The following is a 13,637-nucleotide window of genomic DNA, read 5'->3' as shown; positions in this document are numbered from 1 at the left end:
ATCCTGTCCCTCTCTTGCTCAGAAACTCTTAGTGGCTCCCAACGACTGCAGGATAAAACCCAAGGCTTCATTCTGGCATTCAAGGCCCTTTATACCGTGTTCCAAACCTATGAATGTACAAAAAATTATTGCACATGATTCGTGTCAGACCTGTGACAATGATCCTGAAACTGAGCCTTGGAGAGGGAAAGAGGTGAATGCTCTTACCTGCGTCAGTTTCCTCCCCTCCCCTCCCCTCCCCTCCCTCCCTTCCTTCCTTCCTTCCTCCGCACCTGGTAAGAACATACAGCCCAGGCCCTAGGCCAAATATCAGAAATGATCTGAAGACCCTGCCTGGGCAGGGACAGCTGTCTGCAAGGAAGGGGAGTTAGGATTAGCCTGAGGTTAGCATTGGAGTGGTTTCCCAGAAAGACTCTGGCTGTACTTTCCCAATCTTTCCAGGAGGGGGCGGCAGCATCCCTGGTTACAGGCGCTCACGCATCTCGGAGCTCCCGCGCAGGACGTGTCCAGGGGTGGAGAAGTGTGTGTCTGTGTTTGCAAGTGTGGCAGAGGGTCTCAGCATATGATTGAGTGGACACGAGTGAGAGCGCTCCAAGGGAGGTGTGTGTGTGTTCATTAGACTCTCACTCGGCTTATTGTGTGTCTACTCTGTGCCAAGCCCTGACTCTGATACTTGGGACCAGCTCAAGAGACCAGAGCTCAGTAGAGGGGAGCAAAGAAAAAAGCAAGTAAATAAATAAATAAATAAATAAATAAATAAATAAATAAATAAATAAAGTGATGTCACCAGATAATAAAGATCTAAGGTGGGGGTCGGGACTGATTTGAACCACGTGGTCAGAGCACCTCTCCAAGGAGGCAACCTCCATACTGAGACCAGAAGGACAAGAGGAAACCAGCCAAGCACAGATAAATGTGGGAGATGGTTCCAGGCAGAGGGAGCAGGGAGGGCAAGGTGAGATGCAGTGCTGTCTTGTAGGAGTTTGAGTTTGAAGAGTTCGAATTTAATTCTCTTTTCTTTCTTTTTAATTTCTTTCTTTCCTTTCTCCTTTCTCCTTTCTTTCTTTTTCTTTTTCTTTCTTTCTTTCTTTCTTTTTCTCTTTCTTTCTTTCTTCCTTCCTTTCTTTCTTTTCTCTTTCTCTCTCTCTCTCCTTCCTTCCTTCCTTCTTTCTCTTCTCTCTCTCTCTCTCTTTCAGACTCTCACTCTGTCACCCAGGCTGGAGTGCAGTGGTGCAATCTCGGCTTGCTGCAACCTCCATCTCCCAGGTTCAAGCGATTCTCCTGCCTCTGCCTCCCGAGTAGCTGGGATTACAGGAGCACACCATCACGCCCGGCTAATTTTTTGTATTTTTAGTAGAGACGGGGTTTCATCATGTTGGCCACGCTGGTCTCAAACTCCTGATCTCCAGTGATCCACCTGCCTCGGCCTCCCAACGTGCTGGGATTACAGGTGTGAGCCACCGTGCCCAGGCTGTTTTTGTTTCTTGTCTTCGAATTTAATTCTAAGGACAAGAAGTCCTCAGATGTTTGAACAGCCAAGTGATGCGATGTGATGTTTGATTTACACTTTCAAAAGATCTCTGGCTGCTGAGTGGGAATGTGTTAGAATTGGGCCAGTGACAGTGAGGAGGCTACTGCACCAGTCCAGGCCAGAGTTGCGGTGTGACCATGGGGGCTGAGGAAGTGTGTGGACGCAGCACATTTGGGAGGTGGCACTGTTGACAGTGGGGGCGAGAGGCGGAAGCAGGGCAGCTCCTGGTTCTTGGCCTGAACCAAGACTTCTAAGAGGAACAGCTGTATCAGGGGCAGTCTGGCATTTGAAAGGCTCATTTCTGCCTGAAACCTCTACGGTTTGGCTCCCTGACCTGACCAGTTCAGGACTTCCAGGGCCAGTCCCTTCTCCATCCTCCTCTTTTTTGGAGGGAGGTTCTGGAAACAGCTGGTTCCATCCTAACCTCCAGGCTTACCAGGGCCCTGCAGGGCTCAGGAACAGAACATTCTGCTTGGATCCTATACGGGGACTTTTCAGTTCCAGACAGCTCTTTGCCTGCCCTTCCTCCCTCCCTCCCTCCCTTCCTTCCTTCTTTCCTGCCTGCCTGTCTGCCTGATTGCCTGCCTGCCTGCTTGCCTTGCAATCATAGCTCACTGTGGCTATTTTGCTGTTGCTGTTGTTAGAGACAGGGTCTCATTATGTTGCCTGGGCTGGTCTCGAACTCCCGGGCTCAAGCGATCCTCCTGTCTTAGCCTCCCAAAGTACAGGTGTGAAACACTGCCCCTGGCTTAATGCTTTATTCTTGACTCATTCAATCCTTGATGGGAGGGAGAATGCTGGCTCTGGAGACAGGTAGCATGTTGTGAGGAAGGAATCCAGACCCTATGGAGAGGCACTCAGCTAAGGTTGCAGGGGACAGCGAGACCACTCATCCAACACATGGTGAATGAGCCTTCAGAAAACTCCATGCCCAGCTAATGCCAAGAGGAGCAGAGATGAGCTCTCTGCCAAGCCCTACCCAAACTGTACATTTATGCACACAGTATGTGTTCCTGTGTTAGTCATTATGTTATGGGTTTGTTATGCAGCAATAGATAACTGGAATAAATAACCTTGAATCTCAGCCCTGCCCTTTCCAGCTGTGTGAGCTTGAGTAAGTCACTTAACATCTCTGAGTCTCAGTGGCCTCAACTGTGGAATAATACAAATAATAACAGAAGGAGAATCATGCTGCTATAAAGACACATGAACACGTATGTTTACTGCGGCACTATTCACAATAGCAAAGACTTGGAACCAACCCAAGTGTCCATCAATGATAGACTGGATTAAGAAAATGTGGCACATATACACCATGGAATACTATGCAGCCATAAAAAAGGATGAGTTCATGTCTTTTGTAGGGACATGGATGAAGCTGGAAACCATCATTCTCAGCAAACTATCGCAAGGACAAAAAACCAAACACCGCATGTTCTCACTCAGGTGGGAATTGAACGATGAGAACACTTGGTCACAGGAAGGGGAACATCACACACCGGGGCCTGTTGTGGGGTGGGTGGAGCAGGGAGGGATAGCGTTAGGAGATATATACCTAATGTAAATGACAAGTTAATGGGTGCAGCACACCAACATGGCGCATGTATACATATGTAACAAACCTGCACGTTGTGCACATGTACCCTAGAACTTAAAGTATAATTAAAAAAAAAAAAACAGAAGGAGGATAGATATCTCATGAAAAATTCTCATAACACCCAGAAAGGGGAACTCGTTTGTGAAGCATCCCCCACAGACAGCAAGCAGAGATGTGCAGGCTTGAGCCTGAGGTTTGTGCAATACACAGTGCAGGGGTTTTGGTTCAGTGCTCTGAAGCACTCCGTAAGGATCCAAGCCGGGTTGTCGTGGTGTTGGATGTGGTGGTGTCTGAAGAGATAGTCAGTATCCAGAGGCTTAGTGCTTCCCGGCCCATGATCCTGAGCCGGTTCACCAAAGGGCCTGCCTCCCCAAGCCAGGGCCCATGTGCCATGCAGGCTCATCCCACTGCAAGGAGCTCGGGGCCTTGAAAACGTCACCCCTGGGACCACCACCACCATTGCGGTCACACCCTGGACCCCTGGACTTGCAGTCCTCATATGAGGAGGACTCAGGGGGTATCAGGCCCACAAACGCTGTTTCTAATCACCTTCTGCTTACCTTCCAATTCCCACTGAACCCATTCTGAACCCTACCTAGGAGCTACAGACCCTCCACCCCTCTTCCAGCCACAGTGGAGGGGCTGTGCTGCAGAATCAACACCTGATCCTGGCAAGACATTCACCAGGCTGTCTCGGTTCCCTGACCTATAAAGAGGGCAGGATGACCTTATTTGCGGAGTTCTCATCAGGATTAAAGATAATAATAACTACACAGTCGCCGGCCCTTCTAGAAAGCTGGAGGTCGGCAGGACCACATGCAAGTGCTCCTGCAGACGGAAGCTTTTCTTCCAAGCCTCCAAGGACACTCGCCGGCCCTCTCCAGCACCCAGGCAGATCTGGGCTGGGCTGGAGGCGTGGGTCACCACCAGAGCCCTTGCTGCCCACGGTGTGTGATGCTGGCTGTTGCCAAGCAACAGGCCTCAGCTCAGGCCCCGAGCCCCAAGGTCAGCTGCCCACCAACTGGCTTGCTATTTCTGGGCTATGGGGGCTGCCAGTGCTCCTGGATTCCTTGCCTCGATCGAGTCCTGTGGGAGGAGAAGCATACCTTGGGCTCTGGTTTGGGAAATCCATAAGTTGCCATATGCCCCTTTTATTTTTTTATTTATTTTTATTTTTTTTGAGATGGAGTCTCGCTTTATCGCCCAGGCTGGAGTGCAGTGGCGTGATCTCGGCTCACTGCAAGCTCTGCCTCCCGGGTTCATGCCATTCTCCTGCCTCAGCCTCCCAAGTAACTGGGACTACAGGCGCCCGCCACCACGCCCGGCTAATTTTTTCTATTTTTTCGTAGAGACAGGATTTCACCGTGTTAGCCAGGATGGTCTTGATCTCCTGACCTCGTGATCTGCCTGCCTCGGCCTCCCAAAGTGCTGGGATTACAGGCGTGAGCCACCGCGCCCGGCCTGCCATGCCCCTTTTAGAGATGATCCAGGAGAGGCTGGAAATCCCAATCTGTCACCAGGTTTGGGGCCCAGAGAAGGGGAGGGGCTCAGCAAGACACAGAGCAAATCAGTGGTACAACATGGGCTGTTGAACATAGATCTGATCTCCTAATTCCAATCCCCACTGGCAAGGTGATGCAGACAGCTCAGAGAGGTCAAGGGACTGACTCACGGTCATGCAGCAAGTAAGGGGCAAAGCTAGGATTCCAGCCAGGTCTGTCTATTCCAAGATGACTGTAGCATCCTTTATGTACCCTTGTGATTTCCAGGCGGGACTCCTTGGAGGCTCAGGTGTCTGCAGAAGTGTCTCAGGGCCTCGGAGGGAAGGTAAAAGAGACGCTGATCTCGCAAGTGACACTCTGGTATGCCCTCCTCATCTTCATCTATTTTATTTGGGTCTCACAAGGAAAAAAAGAAAGGCTAAAGTGTTTTGGGGAAATTGATGATCCATTCGGTGCCTTAATTGCATCAACGTGAAAAATCAGGCTCACAGAGGGGAAGCGACTTGCCCAAGATGCACAATAAGAACTGGGAGCCGGCTGGGCGCGGTGGCTCACGCCTGTAATCCCAGCACTTTGGGAGGCCGAGGCGGGTGGATCATGAGGTCAGGAGATGGAGACCATCCTGGCCAACATGATGAAACCCCGTTTCTACTAAAAATACACAAATTAGCTGGGCACGGTGGCATGCACCTGTAGTCCCAGCTACTCAGGAGGCTGAGACAGGAGAATTGCTTGAACCCAGGAGGCGGAGGTTGCAGTGAGCTGAGATGGTGCCAGGGCACTCCAGCCTAGTGACAGAGTGAGACTCCATCTCAAAAAAAAAAAAAAAAAAAAAAAGAACTGGGAGCCAGGATCCCTGACCCCTCCACTCTCCACCATGGGTTCCCATTGCTCCCCATCTTGGGGATTGGAAACAACACGTCCAGAGGACTTACGTGCTGCCAGCTCCTCGATAGGGACTGTGCAGCAGCTACTAAATGCTGAATCACTCCTTTTAAACCGGCATCATGAGACTTCTTTCATCCCCATTCCACTCCCTAAGTAGCATCTCGTCCCTTTTTTTCTCATGCATCTTGGACTTGGTGCACTCAGAAATGACCATGTGATTTATTGATTCACTTATTCATCGCCAGCCTCTCCCCAACTAGAAGGCAAGCTCCAGGGGAGCAGGGACCAAGTCCCTCTTGTTGACACCTGTCTCTGCCTCGCCTGCACTAGGCTTGGCACACAGTAGGTGCGCAGGAAAGGAATGATGAAGGTGGAGCCTCATAACACCGCTAGAGGGGACAGTTGTCATCTTTAGTCACCCAGTATCCTACTCCCCTTCCTAACAGTACCCTGATTTCCACATCCTGTGGAGTCTTAGGGATTTGCTACATCTCCCAAAATAAATTATAGTTCTCCCCTCCCCTGCAGAATAAATTAATAATAATAAATAATAACAATAACACTAACATTTATTGAATGTTTTCTGAATGCCAGGTACTAATGTTCTAAGCACTTTACATAGATATTTCATTGAATCTTTACCATAACCTTACGCCCAGACACAGATGCAGCTCCCAGCTCTCTTTCAGGGAAAAAGCAAGGCTCAGAGAAATGGAAACTTGCTAGCAGGTAGCAGACTGGGATTTGAACCGAGATCGACTGGCTCTGGGGGTGCCAGGCCTTTTTGCTCCCTTGTGAGTGCATTTTCCTTAGGTCCTGCCTCTCACTGCACTCATACAGCCGAAGTGAGATGTGTGACCTCACCATCTCGCCATATGGGACGTTATCGTCTGAGTGGAATGATGAAGGGTGGGAGAATTAGTGGAGATGCTAATCCCATAGTTGGGGTCCTGACAATCAGGTAACTTCTCTTCTGGTTCCTGCCTGATTCCAAGCCTGCCTCTCCAGCCTTTGCCTCAATTCTGTGTTCCCTAATAATCTCCCAATAAATTCTCCATTCTTCCAAGAACCAAAGATTCTAACAGGTACAAGAACAAGAGGGGACGTGTCAGCTCCTATTGTGCAACGAAACATCCCCTAAGTTTAATGGATTAAAACAATAAGCAGACCAGGTGCGGTGGCTCACGCCTGTAATCCTAGCACTTTGGGAGGCCCAGGTGGGCAGATCACCTGAGGTCAGGAGTTCAAGACCAGACTGGCCAACATGGTGAAACCTAGTCTCTACTAAAAATACAAAAATTAGCCGGGTGTGGTGGCGGGTGCCTGTAATCCCTGCTACTTGGGAGGCTGAGGCAGGAGAATCTCTTGAACCCAGGAGGCAGAGGTTTCAATGGGCTGAGATGGCACCACTGTACTTAAGCCTAGGCAACAGAGTGAGACTCCCTTTCAAACAAACAAACAAAAACAATAAGCAATTATTTCTAACGATTCCATGGATCTTCCGGTCTAGACCAGCTCATCTAGGATGGCCTCAGGCATCTGTCTGGCGCAGCCGGGAGGGCTCACTGCTGTCTCATGTGGCCTCTCACCCTCCAACAGGCTAGCTCAGGCTCATTCATGGTGGTCTCAGCGTTCCAAAGAGCGGCGGTGCTTCCAAGCCTCAGCTTGCATTATGTTTGTTATTGTCACCATTGGCCAAAGCAAGTCATGTGGCCATGACCATTGTCGGGGTAGGAAGAGATTTCCAAAGGGCATAGAGAGAGGAAAGGGATCGCGTGACCATTTTTACCATGTACCACTGCTGGGAATTATTAGAGGTGGTGCTGTGCTGATCACTACTGTACAAATGGGGAAACTAAGGCACGGAGCAGGAAAGCGGCTCTGCCAGCAACACATGGTGAGTTGGACACAGAGGGCTTTCGAAACCCTGTGGAATCTCTAACCTCAGCCACTGTTTAAGGCAGGGCTTGGTTTTTCTCACTCTGATGTGAAACAAGCTGGGACAACAATCTCTCTTGCAATAAGGAAAATGCAACAGTGAAACATTTGTTGTGCAAAATTAGAGTCCCATTTCCTGTGGGAAGTGCTGACCTGGGATAATTGCCTTTATGTGCTGAAAAATAAGAGACGGACCTGAAAGTGTTTTCCGGAATCCAAAAGGTGGCTTTCTTTAAAAAATCAATTACCTACTCCCACTTCAGAGAAAACACTTCACAGACGCATTTTACATTGTAAGTAGAATTCAGTGCTCCCGGCTAAAATCTACCTGAAAATTCTCAAGGACTGAGAGGCCAGACAGAGGCCCCCAATTACCTCTGCTACCGACGTTTCAGGCGCAGGACGCAGTGGCCATCTCACTAATGAACTGCTTTTTTCATCCAGAGGAAAACTCAAAAGTGTAAAATAGGCCTCGGACTTGGCTTTCCCTCCCACGCCTGGACTGCAGTCGACCGGGTTGACGCCTCCCTGGCGCGTGCTTGATGGTCACATAGGAAAGACACTGAAGGGACTCCCTTCATCTGGGTCTGCTGCTTCCGCGTCGGGCTCAGGTTCCCTCCTCCTCATTGTGGGGAATTGGCTGATGTTCCAGCAGCACTGGTTTTCTCATCGGTAGAATAGGAGCAGTAACAACACACCTAGCAGCATGCAATCGTGTCACAGTGAGGCTTTCCAGGCTGCAGTATTTTGTCTGAAGGCCAGGACGAGGGAGCTAACATTTGTCAAGCACTTCTTATGCACCTTGGGCCTCCACCTCCCCTCAGTCCCATCTGGGCTCAGTGGGCAGCGAGTGAAGGGTCAGGCTCTGGAGCAGGACTGCCTAGGTTCAAATCCCAGCTCCGCCAGTCACCTGCTGGCTGACTTCAGGCAAGTGGGTTAACATCCGTGTGCTTTGCTTTTCTCATCTGTACAATGGGGTTACCCATTGTGCCTAGCTCCTAGAGCAGATGCCCGCAGTGAGTTGCTAGTACCTGCCAAGGGCTGGGAGAAGCATATGCGTCCTTGTCCCCAGGGGACAGGAGGAGGAGTATGATGGAGGGTGCAGATGGGAGAGGAGGTTAGCTCCACCTTTCACCTATTGAGCTGAGGCACCCTTGGACAGGTGGGTGGAGGTATGGGCACATTTGGGGGAAGCAGGAAGGCACAGATGGGTAAAAGGCGTGGAGATGTCACTGGCCCTGCAATAGGGTAGGGAAAACCGTGATGGGCGCCCCTCTTCTCAGAGGAAAGTGCTATGTGACTCTAGAGAAAACAGTTTGAGATGCTGATGGGGTGGAGGTGAGCCCTGGCCTCAACCACAGCCTCTTTATAAAGGAGGTCTCTGAGAAAGGGAAGGACGACCCTCATGCTGGTGCCTCGACTGAGCCAGCAGCCCTTGGTTCAAGTCATTCCCCACTCATCGAGCCTCAGTTCCTCTCTATTTAAAATGAGGACCACAGTGTGCAGTTTCAGGGGGTGCTGTGGAGATTAGAAGTGTAACCGGTACATCAGGGCATGACACAAAGAAGGTGTTAAGAGTCAACAGCTGTGCTCCTGACACTCCATTCTCCCCTCCTCCCCAGGATGAGGGAGCTAACGTTTGTCAGTCACTTCTTATGCTCCTTAGGCCTTGACCTTTCCACAGTCCCGTCTGGGCTCAGGGGGCAGCAAGTGGAGGGTGAGGCTCTGGAGTAGGACTGCCTAGATTCTATTGTCATGGCCAACCTGTTGGCCACTCCCAGAGCTCTCCAGGCTCTGGCCACTTCTCACGTCTCCACCCTGACAGCCTGGCCCAAGAACCTCCAGCCCTTCCGAGTTCATGGGGCTCCTCCTGGCCCATCTGCCTGCTTCTTCAGCCATCTCCATCCCAATTTATTCCTAATATAGAAGCCAAGGGACCCTTTGAAAATGGAAGCCAGATCCTGCCACTCTGCTCAAAACCCTCAAAAGTACCCCTCCCTACTTGGAGGAAAACCAGGGACCATGCAAAGGACTGCAAAGCCCCTGATCTGACACCTCCGACTTCCCTTCTTCCCCTTGCTTCCTCTGCTGCAGCCAGCCTGGCCTAGACGCCCCCAACCCTCCACTCAGGGCTTCTGAACCTGCTGCTCCCCCTCCCAGCCACCGCCTGGCTCACCCCAACTCCAGTCAGGCCTCTGCTCAGCTGTCACCTCTGCAGGGAAGCTGCCCTGACGGCCTGGCCCTCCATATCCCATGACCTGACTTCTCTCTTCAAAGCTCTCCCTGCCTGATGTATACGTATACGTTTGTTTATGTATATGTATCTCCCTGTACCGGGCTCCATGTGCCAACAAAGCAGGGACTGGAGGGATGGCTGATTCTGAAGCCCCGGGAGCTGGCATGGCCTTGCTCACTGTGGACCCTCAGGGACTGTGACTACAACAATAGCTGTCACTCACTGACCTTTGAGAAGGAGCTGGACTCCTGACATGCACCGTGTCCCCATAACTCTGAGAGGTCAGTGACAGTGCTAGTCCCAGGTGGACAGAGGATGAGCTACCTGAGCCACTCTGTGGGTAGGAGGAGGCATCCGGTTGTGCCCACAGGGGCAGCTCAGGCCATGAGTCCAAGCTCAGGAAAGCTCAGAAGGCAGCGAGGCGGCACCAGAGGGAGCACCTGGAGCCCTGCGCGTGTACAGACGGGAGGATGGAGAGGCTCGGCCTCGCAGGGTCATCACTGCCTGGGTGGGGCTCAGGCCCCAGGCAACAGCATCCAGAACATACCAGGGCCTGGGCTCCTCCCAAGCTCCGAGCGTCACCCATGCAGTCTTCTTTCAGAGCCAGTGGGCCGGGTGAATGGGTGGTGGGATCTGTCAGGGCAATTAGAGAGCACAAAGCTGAAGAGCTGGCAGCTTAGGACATGACCTGGGGAAGTTTCTCTGGGCAAACACAGAATAAAGGCTTTGCCTGCCCCTCACCGCTGTCCAGTGCCAGATTATGTAATGTGTTGATGCTGCAAGTGGCGTCCTCACAGCCCTCTGAGAACTCTGCCTGCACCCCAGGAAATGAGTCCCAGAGGAATGACCCAGCTGGCTGGACACCCTCCAACCTGCCCAACTGACACACGTGCACGCGCGCGCACACACACACACACACACACATTCACACACAGACACCACTGTCCAAGGGAAAGCAGAAACCTGGCTTTGGAGTCATTCACTCACAAACTCTTTACTGAGCATCTACCATGTACCCTGCACCCTACTAGATGCTGGGGATATGGCAGCGAACACAGTGGATAAAAATGATGCCCCTGGCATGTGGGGGGAGAGACAGACAAGAAGCATGACACGCAGGTGGGATGTCACATGGTGATGTGTCCTCTGGAGAAAAACAAAAACAAAGCCAGCAAGGAAGACAGAGGCGAGGGTGTGGCTGGGCAGACATCAGGGCAGGGGCAGGGGGAAGCAGTGCAGGAGAGTGAACAAGTGCAGGGGCCCTGGGGCAGGCCTGTGTGTCCTTGCCATAACACAGCAGCTCAGGGCAGGGTGGGGGTGTGGGGAGGCTGGAACGGCGTGAGTGAGGGGAGAGGAGAGTAGAGGATGTATGCATGGTGAGGACTCGGAGGGATGGACACCACTGCAGGCTTCCAGCCAGCAGACCTGAGGGCAAGTCTGGTCCTATCAACATGCACAGAGTGGCAGCTGTGGGTCTCTCATCTACAAACAGATCTGGGGGTCCCCTACCTCCTGAGGCCATGCTCCCTCCCATCTGCAGCCTGCCCATCTATTACTTCTCCATATTTGCTCCCTCCTCTGCAACTCACCTATGCTTTCATTCTGAGCTATGGGCAGGAGGAGGTGACCTCCTGCTCCCAGTGGTCCAGGTCCGGCAGGATGGACAGCACCATGGCTGCTGGGAGAAGGAAGATGCTGCCAGGTGGGCAGGAGGGGCCCAGGTACTGGCAATCAAAGGTCAGAGCTGGTAGCTGACTCTTGGAGCTGGAAGGACCCTTCTGGACCAGCCACCCCTACCTTTCCCCTCCAGCTTTTATTTATTTATTTAAATGATGTCTCACTCTGTCACCCAGGCTGGAGTGCAGAGGCACGATCTCAGCTCATTGTAGCCTCCGCCTCCTGGGTTCAAATGATTCTCCTGCCACAGCCTCTTGAGTAGCTGGGATTATAGATGTCTGCCACCATGCCCGGCTAATTTTTGTTTTTTTTTTTTTTATAGTAGAGATGGGGTTTCACCATGTTGGCCAGGCTGGTCTTGAACTCCAGATCTCAAATGATCCACCTGCCTCGGACTCCCAAAGTGTTGGGATTACAGGCGTGAGCTGCCACGCCCAGCCTGCCCTCTAGCTTTTAATTTGAATATTTTTGTACTACAGAGAAATTAAAAGAATCATGCAATGAATACCCTTACACCCTTCGCCAAGCCTCCCTAGTTAGCATTTTGCCACATTTGTGCTGTTCTCTTGGTAGGCAGGTATGTGGCTGGGGTAGGGCAGGGTGGGAGAGAGCGAGAGAGATATCATAAAGCTTCACCCCTAAAAACTTGGGCATGCATCCGTGTATCAAGCAGAATACTACAACAAGCGGCATTCTCCCACACAACAAAAATACTAACTAAATACCAGAATAACCAAAATGTTTAACATTGTTACAAGGCTGTCCTCATACAGCTCATATTCTAGTTCCCCAAATGTCTCGATAATGTCCTTTATAGCAGTTTTACTTTTATTCTTTTCAGTACGGGATTCCATCAAGGATCAGGCACTTCCTTTGGTTGTTACATTCCTTTAGGGTCTAATCTGGAATGAATAGTCCCCACTGTACCATCGCCCCCACCTTTTTTTTCCTTTCATGACATTGACATTTGTAAAAGAGACAGCCCAGGTGTCTTGTAGAATGTTCCTCAATTTGGGTGTGTCTGATTGTTTCCTTGTGATTAGACTTGGCTAAGCATTCTGGGCACGAGATCTGCAGAGGGGAGGCTGTGTCTCCCATTGTGTTATATAAGGAGGGGCCTCCTGCCAGTTTGTCTCATCATTGGTAATGCTAAGGTGTGATCATTTGACTAATGTGTTCCCGAAGATCTCTCCATTATAAAGCTAATCTTTCCTTTTGTACATAGTAATTCATCTGTGTGATGAATTATGATATTTGAGATATGTGAGTACCTGTTTCCTCACGAATTTTCACATAGTGATTTTAGCAGCTATTGATGCCTTGCCTGAATCAATTATTGCATTAGTAGCTGCAAATAGAGATTTTTCCCATTATCCTTTCTATGTTCTTCTGTAAAGCTTTCCTCTCCCTTCCCTCTCCCCTGCTTTCGTAGTATCATCATACACAGATTAAAAAACTATTATTATTGTTCGATGTGTTGTAAATCCATTATCATCACTGTTCTTATTTGACGCTCAAATTGTTCCAAGTTTGGCCTCCAGGTAGGGGCCCCTTCAGGTGAACTCTTATGTCCTTCCTACTTTTTAAAAACAATTTGATTGAGGTATAGTTGACACACAATGAATTGCCCATATTTTAATATACGACTTAATAAGTTTTGACATATGTGTACACGCATGAAATCGTCACCGTATTCCAGGGAGTGAACACACCCGTCACAACTAATTCTCCTCAGGTATCTTTGGTTTTTTGTTTTGTTTTGAGACAGACTGTCACTCTGTTGCCCAGGCTGGAGTGCAGTGGTGCGATCTCAGCTCACTGCAACCTCCGCTTCCTGGGTTCAACTGATTTTCATGCCTCAGCCTCCCTAGTAGCTGGGACTACAGGCGCCTGCCACCACGCCCCGCTAATTTTTGTATTTTTAGTAGAGATGGGGTTTCACCATGTTGGTTGGTCATGCTGGTCTCAAACTCCTGGCCTCAAGGGATCCACAGGCCTCGGCCTCCCCAAGTGCTGGGATTACAGGCGTGAGCCACTGCCCCCGGCCCTCCTCGGGTATCTTTGTCATATTCCCCTGCAGCCCTTCACCATCTTGAAGGAACCACTGACTTGCTTTCAGTTACTATAGATTGGTTTGCATTTTTTAGCGTTTTATGTAAATAAAATCATACTCTTTGTGTCTAGTTCCTCTCCCTCAGCATTGTTACTTTGAGACTCACCCATGTTACTGCATGTATGCCTAGTTTTCCTTTGTGTTCTTGAGTAGCA

At 50.4% G+C, this 13,637-nt stretch overlaps 1 annotated feature.

Moving 5' to 3' along the window:
- Window positions 9,621-10,121: an enhancer, noted in NCBI's record as "H3K4me1 hESC enhancer chr20:2143700-2144200 (GRCh37/hg19 assembly coordinates)". NCBI's record gives its function as "activates a minimal SCP1, AML or CMV promoter by ChIP-STARR-seq in naive H9 embryonic stem cells {active_cell/tissue: H9 hESC(naive)}" and the evidence as "EXISTENCE:reporter gene assay evidence [ECO:0000049][PMID:30033119]".

The sequence above is a fragment of the Homo sapiens genome, chromosome 20 (assembly GCF_000001405.40).
Source record: "Homo sapiens chromosome 20, GRCh38.p14 Primary Assembly".
Classification (NCBI taxonomy): domain Eukaryota; kingdom Metazoa; phylum Chordata; class Mammalia; order Primates; family Hominidae; genus Homo; species Homo sapiens.
This window is presented reverse-complemented; position numbering and strand designations above follow the sequence as displayed.